At 41.4% G+C, this 22,306-nt stretch overlaps 1 protein-coding gene across 2 annotated transcripts in view; it reads right to left on the bottom strand.

Annotated features, from left to right (window-relative positions):
* CNNM2 (cyclin and CBS domain divalent metal cation transport mediator 2) overlaps positions 1 to 22,306 on the bottom strand; it is a 171,929-nt gene that overhangs the window by 83,045 nt on the left and 66,578 nt on the right. The window lies entirely within an intron of this gene.

Here is a 22,306-nt window from a genome sequence, read left to right as displayed (position 1 = left end):
TTTGAAGTCCTTAATGAAAGCCTGCTGGTTTTGCAGTTCAGGTGGGCATCACGGTCCTACCGATATGTGATGTCACCTCCAGAGGCCCAGCTGTAAAATTCCTCTATTTGTACTCTATTTCTCAGATCAGCCGACACTTAGGGAAAATAGAAAGAACCTACGTTGAAATACTGGGGGTGGGTTCCCCTGATAGAAATTTATTGGGTTATAGAACTTAAGGCCTCAAAAATTAAAATCATATAAATGGGCCAGGGGTGGAGGCTCACACCTTTAATACCAGTGCTTCAGCAGCTGAGGCAGAAGGATCGCTTGAGGCCAGGAATTTCAGACCAGCCTGGGCAACATAGCGAGACCCCATCACTATAAATGAATAAATAAATAAAATTATCTGGGTATGATGGTGTGCACCTGTAATCCCAGCTACTCAGGAGGCTGTGGTAGGAGGACCGCTTGAGCTAGAGGGGTCAAGGCTGCGGTAAGCTGAGATCGCACCATTGCACTCCAGCCTGGGTGACAGAGTGAGACCCTAAGTAAAAGAAGAACCAGCATTTGACAAAATTCAGTATCTGGCCATGATTTTAAAACCAAAAAACCAAAACCATCTTTTAGCAAATTTAGGAATATAAGGCCTTTTTCAATCTGATGAAGGGGAGCTATACAAAATCTAAAGCAGGCCAGGAGTGGTGGTTCACACCTGTAATCCCAGCACTTTGGGAGGCTGAGGCGGGTGGATCACTTGAGGTCCGGATTCAAGACCAGCCTGGCCAACATGGTGAAACCCAGTCTCTACCAATAATACAAAAATTAGCTGGGCGTGGCAGCAGGTGCCTATAATCCCAGCTACTTGGGAGGCTGAAGCAGGAGAATTGCTTGAACCCCCAAGGCAGAGGTTGCAGTGAGCCAAGATCCAGACACTGTGCTCCAGCCTGGATGACAAAGCCAGACTCCATCTCAAAAAAAAAAAAGAAAAAAGAAAATAAATCTAAAGCAAACATCACAGTTAATGGTGAAATACTGAAAGCTTTCCCCCTGCAATGGGAAATAAGACAAGGATATCACTATCACTCCTATTCAACTGCAGGTCCCAAACAGTACATTCCAGAAAGAGAAAGAAATAACCTCGGAAAGGAAATATATTAAACTGTCATGATTTGCATATGACACGATTACATTCACAAAGAAAATCCAAGAGAATCTATATATAACCATGAGCTTGAGCCCAGGGGTTTGAGACCAGCCTGGGCAATATGGTAAAACCCTGTCTCTACAAAACATACAAAAATTAGCTGGGCATGGTGGTATGTGCCTGTGGTCCCAGCTACTTGGGAGGCTGAGGCAAGAGGACTGTTGGAGACTAGGAGATCAAGGCTGCAGTGAGCTATGATCATGCCACTGCACTCCAGCCTGGGTGAACAAATGAGACCCTGTCTCAAAAAAATAAAGTAATATATACAATGAAAAATGGTAAGTGAATTTACCAATATTGTTCCATTAAAGGTTAACATACAAAAATCAATTTTTTTTTTGAGAGACGGAGTTTCGCTCTTGTTGCCCAGGTTGGAGTGCAGTGGTGCGGTCTCAGCTCACTGCAATCTCTGCCTCCCAGGTTCAAGCAGTTCTCCTGCCTCAGCCTCCTATGTAGCTGTGATTACAGGTGTGCACCACCATGCTTGGCTAATTTTTGTATTTTTAGCAGAGACGGGGTTTCACCATGTTGGCCAGGCTGGTCTTGTACTCCTGACCTCAGGTGATCCACCCACCTTGGCCTCCCAAAGTGCTGGGATTACAGGTGTGAGACACCGCACCTGGCCAACTGTACTTCTATATACCAGCAGCCAACAATTATTAAATAGAAATTTTAGAATGAAATCATTGACAATAGTATCAACGAATCATATACTTAAGAATGAACTAGCAAATAAAATCTCTATACAGAAAACTAGAAATATTACTGAAAGAAATTAGGCCAGACACAGTGGCTCAGGTCTGTAATCCTATCACTTTGGGAGCCGAGGTGGGTGGATCACTTGAGGTCATGAGTTCGAGACCAGCCTGGCCAACAGGGAAAAACCCCGTCTCTACTAAAAATACAAAAAAATTAGCTGGGTGTGGTGGCGCATGCCCATAATCCCAGCTACTCGGGAGGCTGAGGAAGGAGAATCACTTTAACCTGGAGGGGGGAAAAAAAAAGAAATTAAAGACCATTCAATAATGGAGGGCTATAAGCCATGTTCAGGAATTTGGATGTTGAAACACTAGTTCTTTCTCAAGTTGATCTACAGATTCAATACAATCCAAATCAAAAATCCAGCAGGTTGTATGTGGAAACTGATACCAATTATAAAATTTATGTGAAAACACAAAAGGTCCAAGAAAAGCTGAGACGATCTAGAAGAAGATATGTAAAAGTTTGAGCGAAACAGACTCACACACACCTAAACAAAGGAATCTCATGCACTGCTGTTGGAGATGTAAACTGAGACAGTAACTTTGGAAAACCATTTGGCATTCTTTACTAAAACCAAACACAAGCATATCCTATGGCCTTGGTATACTCAAAGTGTGGTCCACAGCCAGTCCAACTGGCTCCTGACAAATGCAGACTCTCAGGCTCTACCCTTGAACTACTGAAGCAGAATCTACCTTTTAACAAGATTCCCAGGAAACTGATGTGCACAATACAGTTTGAGAAGCACTGCCTTATGATCCAGCAATTCCACTTCCTGGCACACACTTATCAGAAATGCACACAGATGTCCACCAAAAGACATGTTCGAGAATATTCATAGCAACACTATTCATAATAGCTAAAAACAAGAAAACTACCTAAATGTTCAAAAATAGAAAGAATAAAGTGTGGTATAATCACGCAATGAGGCTGAGCATGGTGGCTCACGCCTGTAATCCAGCACTTAGGGAGGCTGAGGCGGGCAGATCACCTGAGGTCGGGAGTTCGAGACCAACCTGGCCAACATGGTGAAACCCCATTGCTACTAAATACAAAAAAATTAGCCAGGCTTGGTGGCAGGTGCCTGTAATTCCAGCTACTTGGGAGGCTGAGGTAGGAGAATCGCTTGAACCCGGGGCGGGGGTGGGGGCAGAGGTTGCAGTGAGCCGAGATTGCGCCACTGCACTCCAGCCTGGAGACAGAGCAAGACTCCATCTCAAAAAAAAAAAAAAAAAAAAAAAAAATTCATGCAATGGAGTACTACTCAGCAATGAGAATGCACAGTCTACAATACAACTCACAAATATAATGCTGTGTAAAAGAAATCATATCAGAAGAATACACCTTGTATGTTTTCATTTATATAAAGTATAAAAACAGGAAAAATTGATGTTAATGTCAGGACAGTGGTTACCCGGGGGGATACAGTAACTAGGAGAGAATAGTGTTTTAAAAAAAAGATAGAGTCTCGCTCTGGTGCCCAGGCTGGAGTGCAGTGGCGCGATCTTGGCTCAATGCAACCACAGCATCCTGGGTTTAAGTGATTTCCGGCTAATTTTTGTATTTTTAGTAGAGACAGGGTTTCACCATGTTAGCCAGGCTGGTCTCAAACTTCTGACCTCAAGTGATCTGCTTGGCTCAGCCTCCCAAAGTGCTAGGATTACAGGCATGAGCCAACGCACCCAGTTTATTTCATGACATGCATAATTCTACATGGATGGGAAAACCCATCAAGCTATATACTAGTAACTTTTTGCATACTTTTCTGTATACACGTTATAATTTAAAAGTTCACTTAAAAAAGTACTAGAAGGAGGGCTAGGTGTGGTAGCTTATGCCTGTAATCCCAGTACTTTGGGAAGCTGAGGCAGGCGGATTACCTGAGGTCAGAGGTTGGCGACCAGCTTGGCCAACATGGTGAAACCCTGTCTCTACTAAAACCACAAAAATTATCCAGGTATGGTGGCTCGTGCGTGTAATCCCAGCTACTCAGGAGGCTGAGGCCATGAGAATCGCTTGGACCCAGGAGGCGGAGGTTGCAGTGAGCTGAGACCATGCCACTGCACTCCAGCCTGGGCAACAGAGTGAGACTCCTATTAAAAAAAAAAAAAAAGATTCACACATGTTATAGCATGTATGCATACTTCATTCCTTTTTATGGCTGAATAATAGTCCATAGCATGGATACACCACATTTATTTACCCATTTACCAAATGATGAACATTTGGGTTGTTTCCACTTTTTAAGTATTATAAATAATGCCGCTATGAACAACTGCGTACAAGTTTTTATGTGAATATATGTTTTTCTTTCTCTTGAGCATATACCTAGTAGCAGAATTGCAGGGTCATATGGTAAATCTATGTTTAGCATTTGGAGTAACTGCCAAACTATTTCAGAGCAGTTAGACCATTCCACATTACCTCCACCAATGTATAAGGATTCCAACCAGCCAGGCGCAGTGGCTCACGCCTGTAATCCCTGCACTTTGGGAGGCTGAGGCAAGTGGATCACCTGAGGCTGGGAGTTCGAAACAAGTCTGACCAACATGGAGAAACCCCCTCTCTACTAAAAATACAAAATTAGCCGGGTGTGGTGGCGCATGCCTGTAATCCCAGCTACTCAGGAGACTGAGGCAGGAGAATCACTCGAACCCAGGAGGTGGAGGCTGCAGTGGGCCAAGATCACGCCATTGCACTCCAGCCTGGGCGACAAAAGCGAAACTCTGTCTCAAAAAAAAAAAAAAAAAGATTCCAGTCTTGTCAGCCACATCCTCGCCAGCCCAGGCTTGTTATCTTTTTCTATTATAGCCGTCCTAGTGAGTACAAAGTGCTGTCTTGTAGTTTTGATTTGTATTTCCCATCTTTTCACGTGCTTATTGTTCATTTGTACATCCTTGTTAGAGAAATGTCTATTAAGATCCTTTGCCCATTTTTAAATTGGATTGTCTTTTTACTATTAAGTTGTATCCAGAATAAAGAACTCTTACAGTCCCTTATCAGATATAATCTGCAAAAATATTCTCATATTCTGTGGGTTCTTTTCACTTCCTTGATGGTATCCTTTAGGAGCAGAAATTTTTAACTGTGATGTCCAATTCATCAATTTTCTTCTGTGGTTGCTTTTGCTTTTGGTGTCATATCTAAGAAAGCTTTACCTAATCCAAAGTCATGAAGGTTTATTCCTGTTTTCTTCTAGGTGTTTTATAGTTTTATTATTTATTTATTTATTTGGGAGAAAGTCTTGCTCTGATCACCCAGGCTGGGGCGCAGTGGCAGGACCTCGGCTCACTGCAACCTCTGCCTCCCGATTCAAGTGATTCTCCTGTGTCTCAGCCTCCCAAGTAGCTGGGATTACAGGCATGCACCTGGCTATTTTTGTATTTTTAGTATACAGGGGGTTTCACCATTTTGGCTAGGCTGGTCTCGAACTCCTGACCTCAAATGATCCACCCACCTCAGCCTCCCAAAGTGCTGGAATTACAGGTATGAGCCAGCGCACCTGGCCTGTTTTATAGCTTTAGTTCGTACATTTAGGTCTCTGATATATTTTTAGTTCATTTTTGTGTAGGATATAAGGAAGGGGTCTATTTCCATTCTTTTGCATGTGGATATCCAATTGTCTCAGCACACTGTTTTGTTGAAAAGACTATGAGAATGAATAGTCTACAAATAGATAAGCTCTTTTCTTTCCTCCATTGACTCATCTGGCATCCTTGTGGGGCTGGGATGGGGCAGACATCAATTGACCATAAATATTAGGGTTTATTTCTAGTCTCAATTCTATTCCATTGATCTATGCTTATCCTTTGGCCACTAACACAGAGTCTTCATTACTGTAGCTGTGTAATAAGATTTTTTCCCCCAATTTTTTGTATTGCAGTAAAACATACATAAGATTTACCATTTTAACCATTTTTTTAACTGTACAGTTCAGTGGCACTGAGTACATTCACACTGTTGTACAACCATCACCAACACCCATCTCCACACCTCTTTTAATCCTGCAAAACTAAAATGCATTCAACAATTTCCCATATTCCCCTCTCCACAGCCCCTGACAACCACCCTAATACTTTCTATCTCTATAATTTTGACTAATCTAAGTTCTTCATATAAGTAGAATCATATAGTAATTGTCTTTTTGTGACCGGCTTATTTCACTTAGTATACTATCTTCAAGGTCCATCCATGTTGTAGCATATGTCAGAATTTCTTCCTTCCTAAAACAGAACATATTCCATTGTTGGTAAATACCACATTTTGCTTACCCATTCATCCACTGATGGACAGTTGGTTGGCTTCTATGTTTTAGCAACTGTGAATAATACTATTATAAACATGGTGTACAGGCCAGGTACAGTGGCTCATGCCTGCAATCCCAGCACTCTGGGAAGCCAAGGAGGGCAGATCACTTGAGGTCAGGAGTTCAAGACCAGACTGGCCAACATGGCAAAACCCCATCTCTACTAAAATACAAAAATTAGCTGGGCATGGTAGTACATACCTGTAATCCCAGCACTTTGGGAGGCCAAGTCAGTGGATCATTTGAGGTCAGGAGTTCGAGAACAGCCTGGCCAATATGGTGAAACCCTTACTCTACTAAAAATGAGCCAGGTGTGGTGGCACGCACCTGTAATCCCAGCTACTTGGGAGGGAAAGGCACAAGAATTGCTTGAACCCAGGAGGCCGAGGCTGTAGTGAGCCGAGATTGCACCACTGCACTCCATCCTGAGTGACACGGTGAGATCGTGTCTCAAAAAAAATAAAAAATAAAATAAAATAAAACACACACAAAAAAATCAAAGGGGTGTACAAATATCTCTTCAAGACACTGCTCTATTTTTGGCATATACTCAGAATTGGAATTGCTGGATCATACGGTAATTCTATTTTTAACTTTTTGAGGAGATGCCACACAGTTTTCTATAGCAGCTATTCCATTTTATTTATTTATTTATTTATTTATTTATTTATTTATTTATTTGTTTTTGAGACGGAGTTTCGCTCTTGTCACACACGCTGGAGTGCAACGGCATGATATCGGCTCACTGCAACCTCCACTCCCCAGGTTCAAGCGAGTCTCCTGCCTCAGCCTCCCAAGTAGCTGGTATTATAGGTGCCTGCCACCACACCCAACTAATTTTTGTATTTTTAGTAGAGATGGAGTTTCACAACATTGGCCAGGCTGGTCTGGAACTCCTGACCTCAGGTGATCCATCTGCCTTGACCTCCCAAACTGCTGGGATTACAGGCATGAGCCACCATGCCCAGCTATTCCATTTTAAACTACCACTAACAGTGCACAAGGGTTCCAATTTCCCCACATCTTTGCCAACACTTCTTATGTTCTGTTTTTTTGACAGTAGTCATCAGAATGGGTCTGAGGTAACATCTTATTAAAGTTTTAATTTGCATTTCCCTAGTGATTAGTGATAAGAATCTTTACATGTGCTTATTGGCCAACAGTAAATTTTGAAAGTTTTTTCAAGACTGTTTTTAGCTATTCTGTGTCCCTTGAATTTCCACATGAATTTTGGGATCAATATGCCAACCTCTGGTGCGGAGAGGTGGGGGGGGAAGGGCAGCCTGGATTTTGATAAGGATTGTATTAAATAGGTAGATCTGATAAGCATTGCCATTTTAAAAATAGTCCTCTAATTCATGAATCCATGAGTCGACAAACACAGCTTTCCATTTGAGTCTTTAATTTCTTTTAATGTTTTAGTTTGTAGAACACAAGTTTTGAAATTTTTAATTAAATTATTCCTAAGTATTTTATTGTAAATAAAACTCTTTTCTTAATTTCATTATCAGATCCAAGTGTATAGAAATATAAGCAATTTTTGGCCGGGTGCAGTGGCTCACGCCTGTAATCACAGCACTTTGGGAGGCTGAGGCGGGCAGATCACAAGGTCAGGAGATCGAGACCATCCTGGCTAACCTGGTGAAACCCCATCTCTACTAAAAATACAAAAAAAAAAAAAAAAAATTAGCCGGGCAGGGTGACGGGCACCTGTAGTCCCAGCTACTCGGGAGGCTGAGGCGGGAGAATGGCGTGAACCCAGGAGGCGGAGCTTGCAGTGAGCCAAGATCGCGCCACTACACTCAAGCCTGGGAGACAGAGCAAGACTCCGTCTCAAAAAAAAAAAAGAAAAAAGAAATATAAGCGATTTTTTTGCCTGTAATCCCAGCTACTCGGGAGGCTGAGGCACAAGAATCACTTGAACCCAGGAAGCAGAGGCTGTAGTGAGCCCGGATTGCGCCACTGCACTCTAGCCTGGGCAACAGAATAAGACCCTGTCTCAAAAAACAAACAAAAAGAAATAAGTGATTTTTTAATATTGCTCTTGTACCCTGCAACCCTGCTGAACTCATTTATTAATGCTAATAGGTTTTTTTGTTTGTCTTTTAGTAGAGACAGGGTTTCACCATGTTGGCCAGAGTGGTCTCAAACTCCTGGTTCTCAAGCAATCCAACTGGCTTTGCCTCCCAAAGAGCTGGGATTACAGGCGTGAGTCACCCTGCCGGCCTAAACCTAATAGTTTTGTAGTCGATTCCTCAGCATTTTCTATATAGAAGATCGTGTCACCTGTGAATAAAGTTTTATGTCTGCCTTTCCAATCTTGGTGTTTACCTTATCCCTTCGAAGGGCTATATGTTATTCATTCATTATAATCACATTGATAATTTTAAAGACCTTGCCCAGAGACAAGCCTGTGTTTTTCTAGTTCCTTAGATTTGTTTACTTTAAGTTCGCATATATACGTGAAGGATCTGTAACAAAATACTCAGAAAATAATACAATCTAGAATACATTTGAGCTGCATTTGATAGTTAAAGAATGGAAAGTACTTATCTTTAACAGTATTGAATAGCCTGTCAATTATGCATATTGATGTGCTTAGCCAGGCCATTCTAATTTCCTCTGTCACCTACTAAATAAAGCCCAGAGGGGCTTCCCTGCTGTAGATACAGGTAAAACTGCTCTGCAAATAGAAGTATGCATTCGCTGAACACCCACACCACTGCCTGAAGTCATTATTTGCATTATGAGTAAGAAAAACACAAGTGTGGCTTCAGTCTAAGGGACTAATCCTGCTTTTACAAGCCAGAAAATAAATGCCCACTAATGTGGCATCAGAAGAGAGTTTGTTAACTCTAACTTAATCAGAGCCATCAAGAAACAGAAAAAAAAAACAAAAACACTTGAACACTGACATAAAGCCATAAATATGGTGTGTATCTAGTTCAGTGCAAGTCATGTTAAACATGACTTTTTATTCTCAAGGTGTTTGTTCTAAACCATGAAGTAATGTCAGTATATTCTTTTACTCTTGCAATGTTTAGAGTTGCTACAGATTATGATACAAAGCCATTTGTAAAAGGGGAGGAAATGAGCTATAAAATCATATTAGAAATCTAATGGGACTGCAAACAAAATTAAAATGTATCTTTCTTGCTTAATATTGTAGCTTTATCCTGTACATTGATTTTTGTTCTTAATTGAAGGACAGCTTCATATGGGACCTTATAATGGTAACTTTATATTATTTGGGTCTTTTTCTTAACTGCTTTTTATATAAATTATACTTTATAAATATTTTACAAATATTTTACAAACTTAGTTGGTCTACAGCATGTGACTTCCACATTTTAGACAAATGCTACATAAATATTAAAACCAAGAATCTAGACCTCACATCTGTCTTCCCATTATATTTATTCTTCAGAATTCGAAGCAAACTTTTATACATATTCAATATCCAGAAAGAGAAAACAGAAAACAGGAGAAAACTATCAAAATAATATTTGGAAAGAACATGCATCTTCAAACTAAAATGGCCTATCAATGGCCCGAACAGCAAGTTGTAAAAGACCTATTTCCAATCTTTCAAAATACTAAGATTCTGAAAAGCTTCCAGAGAAATCAGTCACCTGCAGTGGATCAAGAATTAGGATAAAACTGGCCTCCTCATTATTAAGACTGGATGCTTGCAGACAATGAAGCAATCCATAAGAATTCTCAGGGAAAATTCTCTTCAATCTAGAATTCCATTCTCATCCCAACTCTCATCAAATGTAGAGCTAAATGAAAGGACTCAGAAAGTATCCTTTCTCTTCACCTTCTTTAGGACAGTCCTTACTGACATGTTTCATCAAAATCAGGGAGTATGTCTAGAAAGGAGAGGATATGGGATCCAGGAAATAATCTAGGAAAGCAGTAATGGGAAGTCACAGGATGTCAGCTCTAGAGAGCAGTCAGCCCAGTTTGGAGAAACAATGTGCTCTAGGAGGAGGTTGGAGATGTGAGTGAATAGAATAAGAGAATGAATTATACAATGGAGAGCTTGAAAATAATTGAGGACATAACAAAGGCAAATATCTCGTGGAAGAAAGGCCATGAGAAAATAAATGCTGTACAAGGAAAGAAAGGTATACTACTAGGATATGAAGTGAACAATTTTTATGTAATTATGATAATGCAAATAAATTAACTTTTAGATTCAACCTATTCACAAATCAAAGTTTTTTGTTTTGTTTTTGAATCAGGGTCTTGCTCTGTTTCCCAGGCTGGAATATAGTAGGGCAATCACAGCTTACTGAGCTTCAACCTCCCACCTCGGCCTCCCGAGTACTAGGACTACAGGCATGCGCCACCATGCCCAACTGATTTTTAAATTATTTGTAGAGACAAGGTCTCCCTATGTTGCCCAGGCTGGTCTTGAACTCCTGGCCTTAAGCAATCTTTTGGCCTCAGCCTCCCAAGGTGCTGGGATTACAGGCGTGAGCTGTTGCACCTGGCCCAAAGAAGTCTTAATTGCAGTTATAAACAGTATGAAATTTCATCAGCCTTGATGAAGAAAAGGCCTTGATAATAAAAAGTGGAAAAAAAAGATGGCAGAATATAGGGATACAAGAGGGATGGCCAAATAAAAAGGTAGAGGCACTGCTGTTGTAACTACTGAAAGCAGAAAAACAATAGAAAAAAAAAAATGAAACCAAACCTTCATTCTTTGAAAAGATCAATAAAATTGATAAACCTCTAGAAAGACTAACAAAAAAGAAAGACATAATATAAATTACAACATCAGGAATAAAAAAGAGGGGAATACCATTACAGACCTCACAGATAATAAAAGGATAGTAGGATAATACGATAATTCTATACACACAAATTGGACAACTTTGATAAAATGGACCAATTCCTTAAAAACTCCAAACTATGAGGCCAGGCACGGTGGCTCATGCCTGTGATCCCAGCACTTTGGGAGGCCCAGGCAGGCAGATCACCTGAGGTCGGGAGTTTGAGACCAGCTTAACCAACATGGAGAAACCCCATCTCTACTAAAAATACAAAATTAGCTGGGGGGAGTGGTGCATGCCTGTACTCCCGGCTACTCGGGAGGCTGAGGCGGAGGTTGTGGTGAGCCGAGATCACGCCACTGCACTCCAGCCTGGGCAACAAGAGTGAAACTCCATCTCAAAAAAAAAAACTTTAAATCAATGGAATGCCTACCATCTTTCTCCAACCCCCACCCCCACCAGACGTAACACATTTTTAATAAGCTAACATGGTTTATTAAATTAGTACTTGTAAACTAGGGGCATCTAATTCTGAAATTATCTACATAACCTGAAAACTTTCCCCCAAAAACTCTACATATAATAGAACAAATATTATTTTAAAGGCAAAGCTGAGTTAGCAAGAAAGAGAAAGGACAGGTGTGGCTCACACCTGTAATCCCAGCACGTTGGGAGGCCAAGGCAGGTGGATCACTTGAGGTCAGGAGTTCAAAACCGGCCTGGCCAACATGGCAAAACCCTATCACCACTAAAAATACAAAAATTAGCTGGGCATAGTGGCACATGCCTGTAGTCCCAGCTGCTTGGGAGGCTGAGGCAGGAGAATCACTTGAACCTGGGAGGCAGAGGTTGTGGTAAGCCATGATCATGCCACTGCACTCCAGCCCAGGTGACAGAGCTAGACTCTGTCTGGAGAGAAAAAAGGAGGAGGAAGAGGAAGGAGGAGGAAGAGGGGGAGGAGGAGGAAGAGGGGGAGGAGGAGGAAGAGGGGGAGGAGGAAGAATAAGAAGAAGAAAACCCCAGGAGCCAGAAAAGCAGAGAGAACTAAAAACCAAACGCATGTGGGCAGCCCCTTTCCTGAGCTGGGATGGCAAAATAGAGATCTACACCCATAATATAGGGGATAGGGTTTTAAAAACCAACATGAAGAAGAAAGGAACATTTGGTCGATTGGCATTGAATATTCTCCTTTCTTTGTAGGTCGTCTGCTCTGTACCATGAAGGCTCAAGAGCCTCTTCCAGCTAGGGCTCCTGATGTAATTAGGTTCCACCAATCATATGCACTAACATGGATTTGGAAAGAGAAACTGAAGACCTAGTTCTGCTACTTTGCAAACAGGCATAGGCCAAGGCATTTGATTGTTCTGCAGCATCATTAGTTGAGTGTACAGTGTCTAGTAACTAGTGTCACGGGTATCAGAGGCAAGGCCTGGGTATTTACTGTGGATCAAAAGCAGATGAGCATGATTCTGGAGCCGACAGCTTTAGTGGAGGCTTCCTGATCAGTGTGGTTTCCTAACCATGGCAGTGGTCATGTGGTTCTGGGTTGGTTTTTAAAACCCCAACTGGCAGCTATTTTGTTGGCCAGTTTTGTGTGTGGCTTTGAGAATTGTTCCTAAAGACAAAACCCTCTAGAACGTAAGTTCCTCAAGGAAAGTGAGCTTTGTCTGTTTTGTTCACTAATGTGTTCCCCAAGAACCCAAAAATAGTACTAAACATATGGTAGATGCTCAATAAATATCTGATTGAATGAACAAACTTGAAATCTATTTCTTCAGCCCTTCCGGCAATTTTGTTGGTGTTTAATGCTTTATGGTAAACCTCTCCTGCTTAAACTAACTAGAATAAATTATATGTCTGCAACTTCACAACTCATATCAAGTAAGGAGTAGAAGTTAAGATTTTGAGCCGGGTGCGGTAGCTCACGCCTGTAATCCCAGCACTTTGGGAGCCCAAGGCGGGTGGATCACTTGAGGTCAGGGGTTCAAGACCAGCCTGGCCAACATGGTGAAACCCCGTCTCTACTAAAAATACAAAAATTAGCTCGGCGTGGTGGCATGTGCCTGTAATCCCAGCTACTCACGAGGCTGAGGCAGGAAAATCACTTGAACCCGGGAGGCAGAGGTTGCAGTGAACCAAGATGATACCACTGTACTCCAGCCTGGGTGACAGAGTAAGACTCTGTCACACTCACACACACACAGAAAAAAGATTTTGACATAAAGCCAGAACCTCCAAAGGGATGCCCCTTTAGGAAAAGAGTAGACCACAAAGAATCTGCCCACCAAGCCAGGTGAGCTGCTAAGGACACTTACCTGCCTCTGCTGAGGCTCTGGGAAGGAAGGAAGGAAAAGTATACCCTGAAAATTTTTAATGACAGACCTACACCTTACGTAGGTTTGAAGCTTAAATTTTTACTACCTTGGTCGTCCTGAAACCTTTAAGTCAAGAAATTAACAACAAAGAATACATCCTCAACCAAAGCCATACAGGATTCCACAGGTAAAGCTCTTCTTGGGAGAGAGAAACAACAAAAAACCTACTCACAAGCCACAATCACAAACAATAGGAGGAAACAATCCACTATAAGCAAAAGGCAACAGACAAAACAAAAAACATTCCAAAATTATCAGATAATAGAATTCTCTTTGGAAAAAGTTATACAGAAGTTGCTGCAATCCAAAACTTTTGACCAATTAAAGGGTGAAATCAGGTAAGTTAGCCCCTGCTAGTATACAACTAGGGAAAACTTACCTCTCCTAAGTCACAAAAGTCTTAATCTTCTTCCCACAAAAATTCAGCTTCAGGAAGTCTAACAGCAATCCTAAGGAAGTTAGGGAACATGTCTAGCCAAACTAGATCAATAATCTACTCTGACCATGGGAAATATTTAAGACCTCATAGTTTAAAGCAAACCTTATATCACATAAGTTTCTCAACGCACATAAGTAAACATAATGATGGTAAATCCAAATGCTATGGTAGGCTCAAAGGAGACCATGCATCATCTAGTCATTCAATTAACATGTGCTGAGTATCAAGTTCTATAAGCCAGTTACGAAAACAAGTAAGACAAGGACCAAGAACCTGCAATCTAGTCAGAAAATACAGATATGTATGACATATTCTTGGTTGAAAAGACCTTTTTTGAAAAAAGTGATGGTGCTAGGTAGATGATAAACTGACCTACACATTAGTAAGGCAGGAATCTACTGTTTACCACTATCAAAAATCCCTCCTAGATCACAGATACCCTAGTGAGGCTGCAATTATGACCTTCATTTTCTAGGTGAGGAAACTGAAGTTTAAGCAGATTAACTTGATTTGCCCAACATAGATCCCCAGCTGGAAAATCAGAGAGCTGAGGTTCAAATACAGGGCTGACTCCAAAGCCCTTGCTGTGAACTACTGTGGTACCGAGGCAGGCTTGAGAATCAGCAATAGGCATGGAATCACATTCCCATTCACAAGTAGGTAGACTGCACAAAGGTCAACCTCCCAGCCTCCCAGTCCCCCTTTACACACACTCCATTCTCACTCACTCACAAACCAAACAGAAAAGAACTGGAGGCCGGGCACGGTGGCTCACATCTGTAATCCCAGCACTTTGGGAGGCCGAGGTGGGAGGATCACTTCGAGATCAGGAGTTCGAGACCAGCCTGGCCAACATGGTGAAACCCATCTCTACTAAAAATACAAAAATTAGCAGGGCTTGGTGGCAGATGCCTGTAAATCCCAGCTGCTCAGAAAACTGAGGCAGGAGAATCACTTGAACCCAGGAGGCAGAGGTTGCAGTGAGCCAAGATCACACCACTGCACTCCAGCCTGGGCAAGAGAGCAAACTGCATCTCAAAAAAAAAAAAAAAAAAGGAACTTGGAGCTTGCTCCCAGTAAAAGGCTGCCCCCACTACAATGTGGGTACCTGGGCAAAGTTTTTGGCAAATATGTTTACTTTGGAAGCAAGTAGAAGAATGTCAAAGTATGTGATTCCTGTACTCAGAAAGCTTAGTCTAAGTTTATACTCAAAAGATTATTTGCTCAAATTGTCCACAAATATGTAGTTTGCTCAGGGATTTTAATACATCAGCATGTACATATCAATTTGTATGTATAGTACATACAGGTAATGTAAATGCAAATGTATATAGAGAAAAGCTATAAAAATTGCTCTAAAAAACTTTAATGTAATAGTTCATACAGCTGAGCTAAATTTACCTTTACCCCATCTATGGAGAAAAAAAATAAAATGTTTACTAAATAAGAGTATAACCAAGACTAAGTGTTACTGGTTAAACTATTAAGAACTCTTTCAAAGTAGACTCAAGCACTTAGAAGCATCTATTTACATGCAAAACCAAGGCTCAGGTAATTGCAAATTCCTTAAGGACCAATACTAGGTAATATATTGTGGTTCTAGTCTTTAATTTATCAGTACAAATGATAATATAACATTCCTTGAAAAATGCTCTGTATTTAAGATCTTATGCTAGTTCAGAGTGGCCTTCCCTCTACTCCTTCAGATACTCCAAATTAGTATAGCTTTACTTCAGACGATGGAATTTAAGAAATGAAAGAATCAAAATTCTGATAGTTAAGCAAGCCAAATATGAAAAAGCAGGAGAGCACTGTAATGGAGGAAAGCAGATGGAACAGTTCAAATCCTAAGATCAGATACTGTAATCTTAAAATGGGGCAAGGAAGTAACCCAAAAGAAATATTACTAAAAATAAATATCCTTTTAATCAATATCTTATTTGCTTCCATTAATTATTTCCATCCCTTTTGAAGTTGGAGGGATTTTATGAAGAGAACCAAGTAAGAGAAGGGGCACACCATTTCAAAATTTAAAATTTCTGGCCTGGTGCGGCGAGTCACATCCGTAATCCCAGCACTTTGGGAGGCCGAGGCAGGCAGATCACTTGAGGTCAGGAGTTCGAGACCAGTCTGGCCAACATGGTGAAACCTCGTCTCTACTAAAAATATAAAATATTAGCCTGGCATGGTGGCACACGCCTGTAATCCCAGCTACTCGGGAGGCTGAGGCAGGAGAATTGCTTGAACCTGGGAAGCAGAGGTTGCAGTGTGCCGAGATCGCACCACCGCACTCCAGCCTGGGCAACAGAGCAAGAATGTCTCAAAATAAAATAAAATTTCCTACAGCCACAATGGAAAATGTAAGAATTGGGTCTCATTTGTACACAGAGATAACTATTCCTACTCTCCAATTACAGTGAAAGTTCTCCATGTAGGCTGAGGAACAGGGGGTAAAAGAAATCAGAAGGTAAATTTACACAAAGATCTTTAAAGTTCCACACCGTCAACCATTCAAGGCACTGTACATTAAGGAACGGACAGATACACACTTCTCTCACACCTCAAAGAACAAAATGCAAGAGTGGATGGAAAGAATATCAAAATTGCATTAAAGATCGCTTCACTCTGTTACAAAACAAGTATAGGTGGTCAGTGATGAGTGTTCTGGTTAGGAATGAGGCTCATTCTACGCCCACCCCTTTCACTTTTACTTCCAAGAACTTTGTACACATGAAGACTTAGAGCCATTGCTATAGCTTAAAGTTAGAATTCTCCTACTTAATGCCTATTGGGAACTACACTAATAGAAACTGTTTCTATTATTTTTCTGATTCTATTCATCTATACCACTTACTAAAGCCATCTTGCTCTTCAGTTTTCTTAAACTGGCCAGTTTAACCTTAGCCATTCCACACTTTTATTCCCACGCAAAATCCCTACAATTGCTTATCCAGCTTCTGTAGCATCCCCATCCCTAGTAACATAATTCTATACATCTGGGGGCACACAAGTAGCCAGTGTGTCCTGTCTACTTGAAAGTTTAAGACCGGGCACGGTGGCTTAAACCGGGCGCGGTGGCTCACACCTGTAATCCCAGCACTTTGGGAAGCCAAGGCAGGCGGATCACCTGAGGTGAGGAGTTCGAGATCAGCCTGGCCAACATAATGAAACCCTATCTCTACTAAAAACAAACAAACAAACAAAAAACAACAAAGAATTAGCCAGGTGTGGTGGCACATGCCTATAATCCCAGCTACTTGGGAGGCTGAGGCATGAGAATCGCTTGAACCGGGGAGGGAGAGGTTGCAGTGAGACGAGATTGCACCACTGCACTGCAGCCTGGGTGACAGAGCCAGACTCTGTCTCAAAAAAAAAAAAAAGTTTAATGGATATGAAAAGTAAGAGGCTGTTATAATTATTATATTATACCTTTTGTACAATCACTAATCATCTTTAAAGAACTAGAAGCCCTATAGTTAAACAAAGGAGTATAGGCATTAAGAAACCCCAAATTGTATTTTATTTTGAGATAGGATTCTCACTCTGTCGCCCAGGCTGGAGTGCAGTGGTGCCATCTCAGCTCACTGCAACCTCCGTCTCCTGGGTCAAACAATTCTCCTGCCTCAGCCTCCCAAGTAGCTGGGACCACAAGGATGCGCCACCATGCCTGGCTAATTTTTGTATTTTTAGTAGAGATCGGGTTTCGCCATGTTGGCCAGGCTGGTCTCGAACTCTTGACCTAAGGTGATCCGCCCGCCTCAGCCTCCCAAAGTGCTGGGATTACAGGCATGAGTCACCATGCCCGTCCCCAAACTATCTTTAAATGTACCATTTTTTTTTTAAACTCACTTTAAGAACATAAAGCAAATATTTTCTCTTCCCTAAAATACAAGGAAAGCCTAAATAAAAATAAAACTTTATTTGTTGAAGTAACCTCCAAAAAAAAAGAAGAATGAAAAAAATAAAATAAAGACGACCCCAGCTAAGTCTTTAGACAGAATTTACTCACTGAACAATGAGTAATTTAACCTTGACTAGTTAAGTCTCAAAAATGTCCGATTCTTGGGGAACTGTTCGGATGGCTGAAAAGATAATGAAAGTTTCCCCTGCTCATCCTGACATTTTGCCAGGGTTTTTGCAACAGTAGTTTGCTTATCTAAATAGACATACGTTACTCAGTGAAGGTGAACTGTTGAGCTGTTCCTGTTTGCACAGAACTAAATATTTAGAATTGTAATCGGATCTGTCTGGTGTTTAAGGAAACCAGAAGAGCAACAACAACAAAAGTTCAAATCATACAAGCCTGTGTAGTTAGACAACCAGGGTTACTACTGAGTACTTCTTATTCTAAATCCTATACTCAAGGCTTCTAATCTGCTTAAGTTTTCAGAAGTCAAAATCATTCCCTTTGAAAGGGCTCATTCACAGGTGACTTCTAGAGCAACTAAGGAGAAAGTTAGTCGGTCACCTAAGCCATTAAGCCTCACTTCCGTGGAGAACAAACTTATTGATCAAAGCACCATAATGGCTTTGATGCTGGACTCAAGAATATTCTCTAATTGTGGATGAAATAGCTGCTTTTCTCAATGCTATTTTTAGGTATAATTAAGTGCCCAAAAGATAGGGTGTGGGCAGAATTTTACCAAGGAAGAGAATTTTAACCCATCATTTGGTAAAGTTAGCAAATGATGAGCTGAGGTCCCTGGATGCTCTAGGGCAGCTGCAGAACGAGACATTCACTCAAACTGTATGCCAAAGTATGTGTGTGTATGCATACTTCTGGGGAAAAGGTCTATACTTTGTATAAGATTCTTAAAATGACATGTCAAAACTTTGAGAATCCCAGACCTATAGAATTTCTTTGTGGTCAAACGAAAGCACTTTTGTAGTATCTGTGTCACTTTCATTTGCACCTGTGAGCATTCACAGGTTTCAGTCTAAAACGTATTAACACCCCTGACTACAGTAAGGGTCTTGAGACCCTATCTTTGTCCCACGCCTTTTCAATATTTCTATTATTATTTTTTTGAAACAGCCTCGCTCTGTTGCCCAGGCTGGAATGCACTAGGTGCAATCCCGGCTCACTGCAACCTCCGCCTCCCAGGTTCAAGTGATTCTCCTGCCTCAGCCTCCCAAGTAGCTGGGATTACAGGCGCCCACCACCACTCCCGGCTAAGTTTTTTTGTATTTTTAATAGAGACGGGGTTTCACCAGGTTACCGAGGCTGGTCTCAAACTCCTGACCTCAGGTGATCCACCCGCCTCGGCCTCCCAAAGTGCTGGGATTACAGGCATGAGCCACCATGCCCGGCCTTTTCAATATTTCTAAATCAATTAAGTAGCGTGGTGCATACAGCTGATTAACAGGTCTCCAGAATTATCTGCTGCCACAGTTCAGGTCTTCACATTGAGGCCTCAGAGAGAAGACAGTGGACTCTGACCTTTGGCTCTGGTCTCATTATCTTTGGAACCTTAATTTCCAAAGGAAAATAGTGATAATTCCTGCCCCACATTTCACACAACTGTTGGGGGTGACAATCTTGAACCAAAGATGTAGGGTGTTTTATTTTTGTTAGAGCAGAGGTTGCAAACCATTTTTGACTATGTATTCTATGAAAATGTTGAGTACACCTCCCTAATTTATATTTACTTATAAATTATATATATTACAAAATATATACATCATGAAATCCATATAAAAATAAGCTTGGCCGGGCGCAGTGGCTCAAGCCTGTAATCCCAGCACTTTGGGAGGCCGAGGCGGGCAGATCACGAGGTCAGCAGTTCGAGACCATCCTCGCCAACATGGTGAAACCCCACCTCTACTAAAAATACAAAAAAATTAGCCAGGCGTGGTGGTGGGCACCTGTGGTCCCAGCTACTCAGGAGGCTGGGGCAGGAGAATGGCGTGAACCTGGGAGGCGGAGCTTGCAGTGAGCCGAGATCACGCCACTGCACTCCAGTCTGGGTGACAGAGCGAGACTCCGTCTCAAAATAATAATAATAATAATAAGCTTAATGTATATGCATATTCATTCATATATATATATGTAAGTCCTACTGCATCCCAAGGCACAGCTACATGCAATTTACCTTGAGGACTACCGCTTTAGAATATATCATTTTCTTTATGGTTCTCTAATTTCTTCTTCTTCCTTCAAACTCTCCACCCTCAGCCTTTGTACCCTAAACCCTCTGGTTTTCTTCCTCTGAACATTCTCCTTCAGCAGTTTACTTCCTGCTTCCATCTTTTAAATTTGAGCTTTCATATTAGGTTTTCTGCTCTTCTGGGGACACCCTCCCTTGGCAATGTTGTCTTACTAACCATCAGCAGAAATCTGTGCTTGTTCCTTCTGTGTTCATCTGCAACTACTGAAATTTATACTTGAATCAAAATATCTCACTATTAGCAAATCACCTAGCCCACCCTACCCATATGTCAACACTTACACAAAATCCCTATTATTGCTTATCCAGCTTCTGCTGAATCACCACCTCTAGTAATATAATTCTACGATCTGGAGGATAAAAACTTTTTTTTTTTTTTTTTGAGACTGAGTCTTGCACTGTCACCCCGGCTGGAGTGCAGTGGCGCAATCTCGGGTCACTGCAAGCTCCGCCTCCCAGGTTCACAGCATTCTCCTGCCTCAGCCTCCCAAGTAGCTGGGACTACAGGTACCTGCCACCATGCCCAGCTGACTTTTTTTTTTAAGTAGAGACATGGTTTCATCGTGTTAGCCAGGATGGTCTCAATCTCTTGACCTCGTGATCCGCCCACCTCGGCCTCCCAAAGTACTGGTATTACAGGCGTGAGCCACCGCGCCCAGCCACAGGACATTTTCAAATGGCTCTACTTTTTGGAAATTCTACTTTGATTAAGCTGAAACTAACTTCCCTATAACTTTCACATTAATTCCAGTTTGGCTTCTGAGGCTTTACAAATGGTCCATCACCACCCATACTCGGGAGAATCACTTGAACCCGGGAGGCAGAGGTTGCAGTGAGCCGAGATCACACCACTGCACTCCAGCCTGGGTGACAGAGTGAGACCGCCTCAAAAAAATAAGATAGAAGTAAGGACAAGATCACACAATTATATTTCAGTTATAATCTAGGCTTAGATTGTCAAATATCTAGTTGTAGAGTGAGCACTACCCTAAGCCTTTTACACACTCAAGTCTAAATCACATGCATTATCTTTGTAATCTTAAAATTTAGTCACATGATGACTTTCTCTAAGTAAAACAGGGCAAGTGAACATCGGAGCTAGTCCAAGCCCTATAAACCAAAACAGGTACTGAACATGACAGGTACATCAGGGCAAGCACAGACATGGTCTGGAGGTAAGGTGCAATCACTTTGGCACCAAGCTAACAGGTAAACAGATAACACTAGATATTTAAAAAACTTGTGGGTCTCCAAGCTGATGGATAATACTCTGAAGTCTGAACATGCCAACCATTTAGGAGACATCACTCCTCAGTTGGCAGGGCCCATTCACTTTGTTTAGAAGGCCCCCCTTTCCCAATCCTTTTACTAGTCCCTTGAACAGCTGTCATTAAATGATTACACTGTTGCTAAAAGACAGCTATTCTATCAATCTGAGCTGGTCATGTAAACAAAACAAATATTCTGCTGTAGAATAAGGCATAAAGTACTTATCTAGCCCCTAGGAACTTCCCAGGTAACTCAAGTTGTCTGGCCACGCAGTTTGGAGACTTGATGGCTAGAAAGAACATGACTAAGAGTAGCCAGTAGGATGTCAAGGAAGAACCTGAAGGAGAACATAAGTGAGACAGGGTCTGCTGGTTAGTTTAGAGCCATTCCCTTGGAAGAAAGGGACCATAAACACTTCCTGTATCTAGCTTTGATGAGGAGGAGCTTGGTATGTAAAGAAGCTTTCAGAGTTCTCAATGATGTTGACACAGAAATTCTCTCAGCCCCTTTGCCGGACTCACAGCAGAATTTTAAAATTTTAAAATTCTTTTTAAAGAATTTTGGCTATATCAGACAAAATAGGAATATACAGAGGAGGACTGCTAATTACATGAAACAAGAGGGTGAGAAGGGGAAAAACTTGTTTCAGATGGAAAGGATCCGCTATTCAAATTGTTTTAGAAAAAAAAGATAAAACAATCTGCAGCAATTTAGAATTCTCAAGGTCTGCCAGGGTTTCCTACACAAAGCAGGAATTTTGCCCAACTGCTGCAGAAAGTTAAAAAGAAAAAAAAGACTTTCCCTTCGTTATTTCCTTTTCATGTTAGAAAATATTAGCAAAATTCATCGCTTCTCGGCCTTTTGGCTAAGATCAAGTGTAGAAAATATTAGCAAAATTCAGTCTTTTTTTCTGTCCTTAACAAACTGACATTTAAAATAAGAGTAAAGCCCGGGCACAGTGGTCAAGCCTATAATCCCAGCCCTTTGGGAGGCTGAGGTGGGTGGATCATTTGAGGTCAGG

This window comes from Homo sapiens, chromosome 10 (assembly GCF_000001405.40).
Source record: "Homo sapiens chromosome 10, GRCh38.p14 Primary Assembly".
Lineage (NCBI taxonomy): Eukaryota > Metazoa > Chordata > Mammalia > Primates > Hominidae > Homo > Homo sapiens.
The sequence above is the reverse complement of the archived record's forward strand: the minus strand, read 5'-3'. Positions and strand labels throughout refer to the sequence as shown.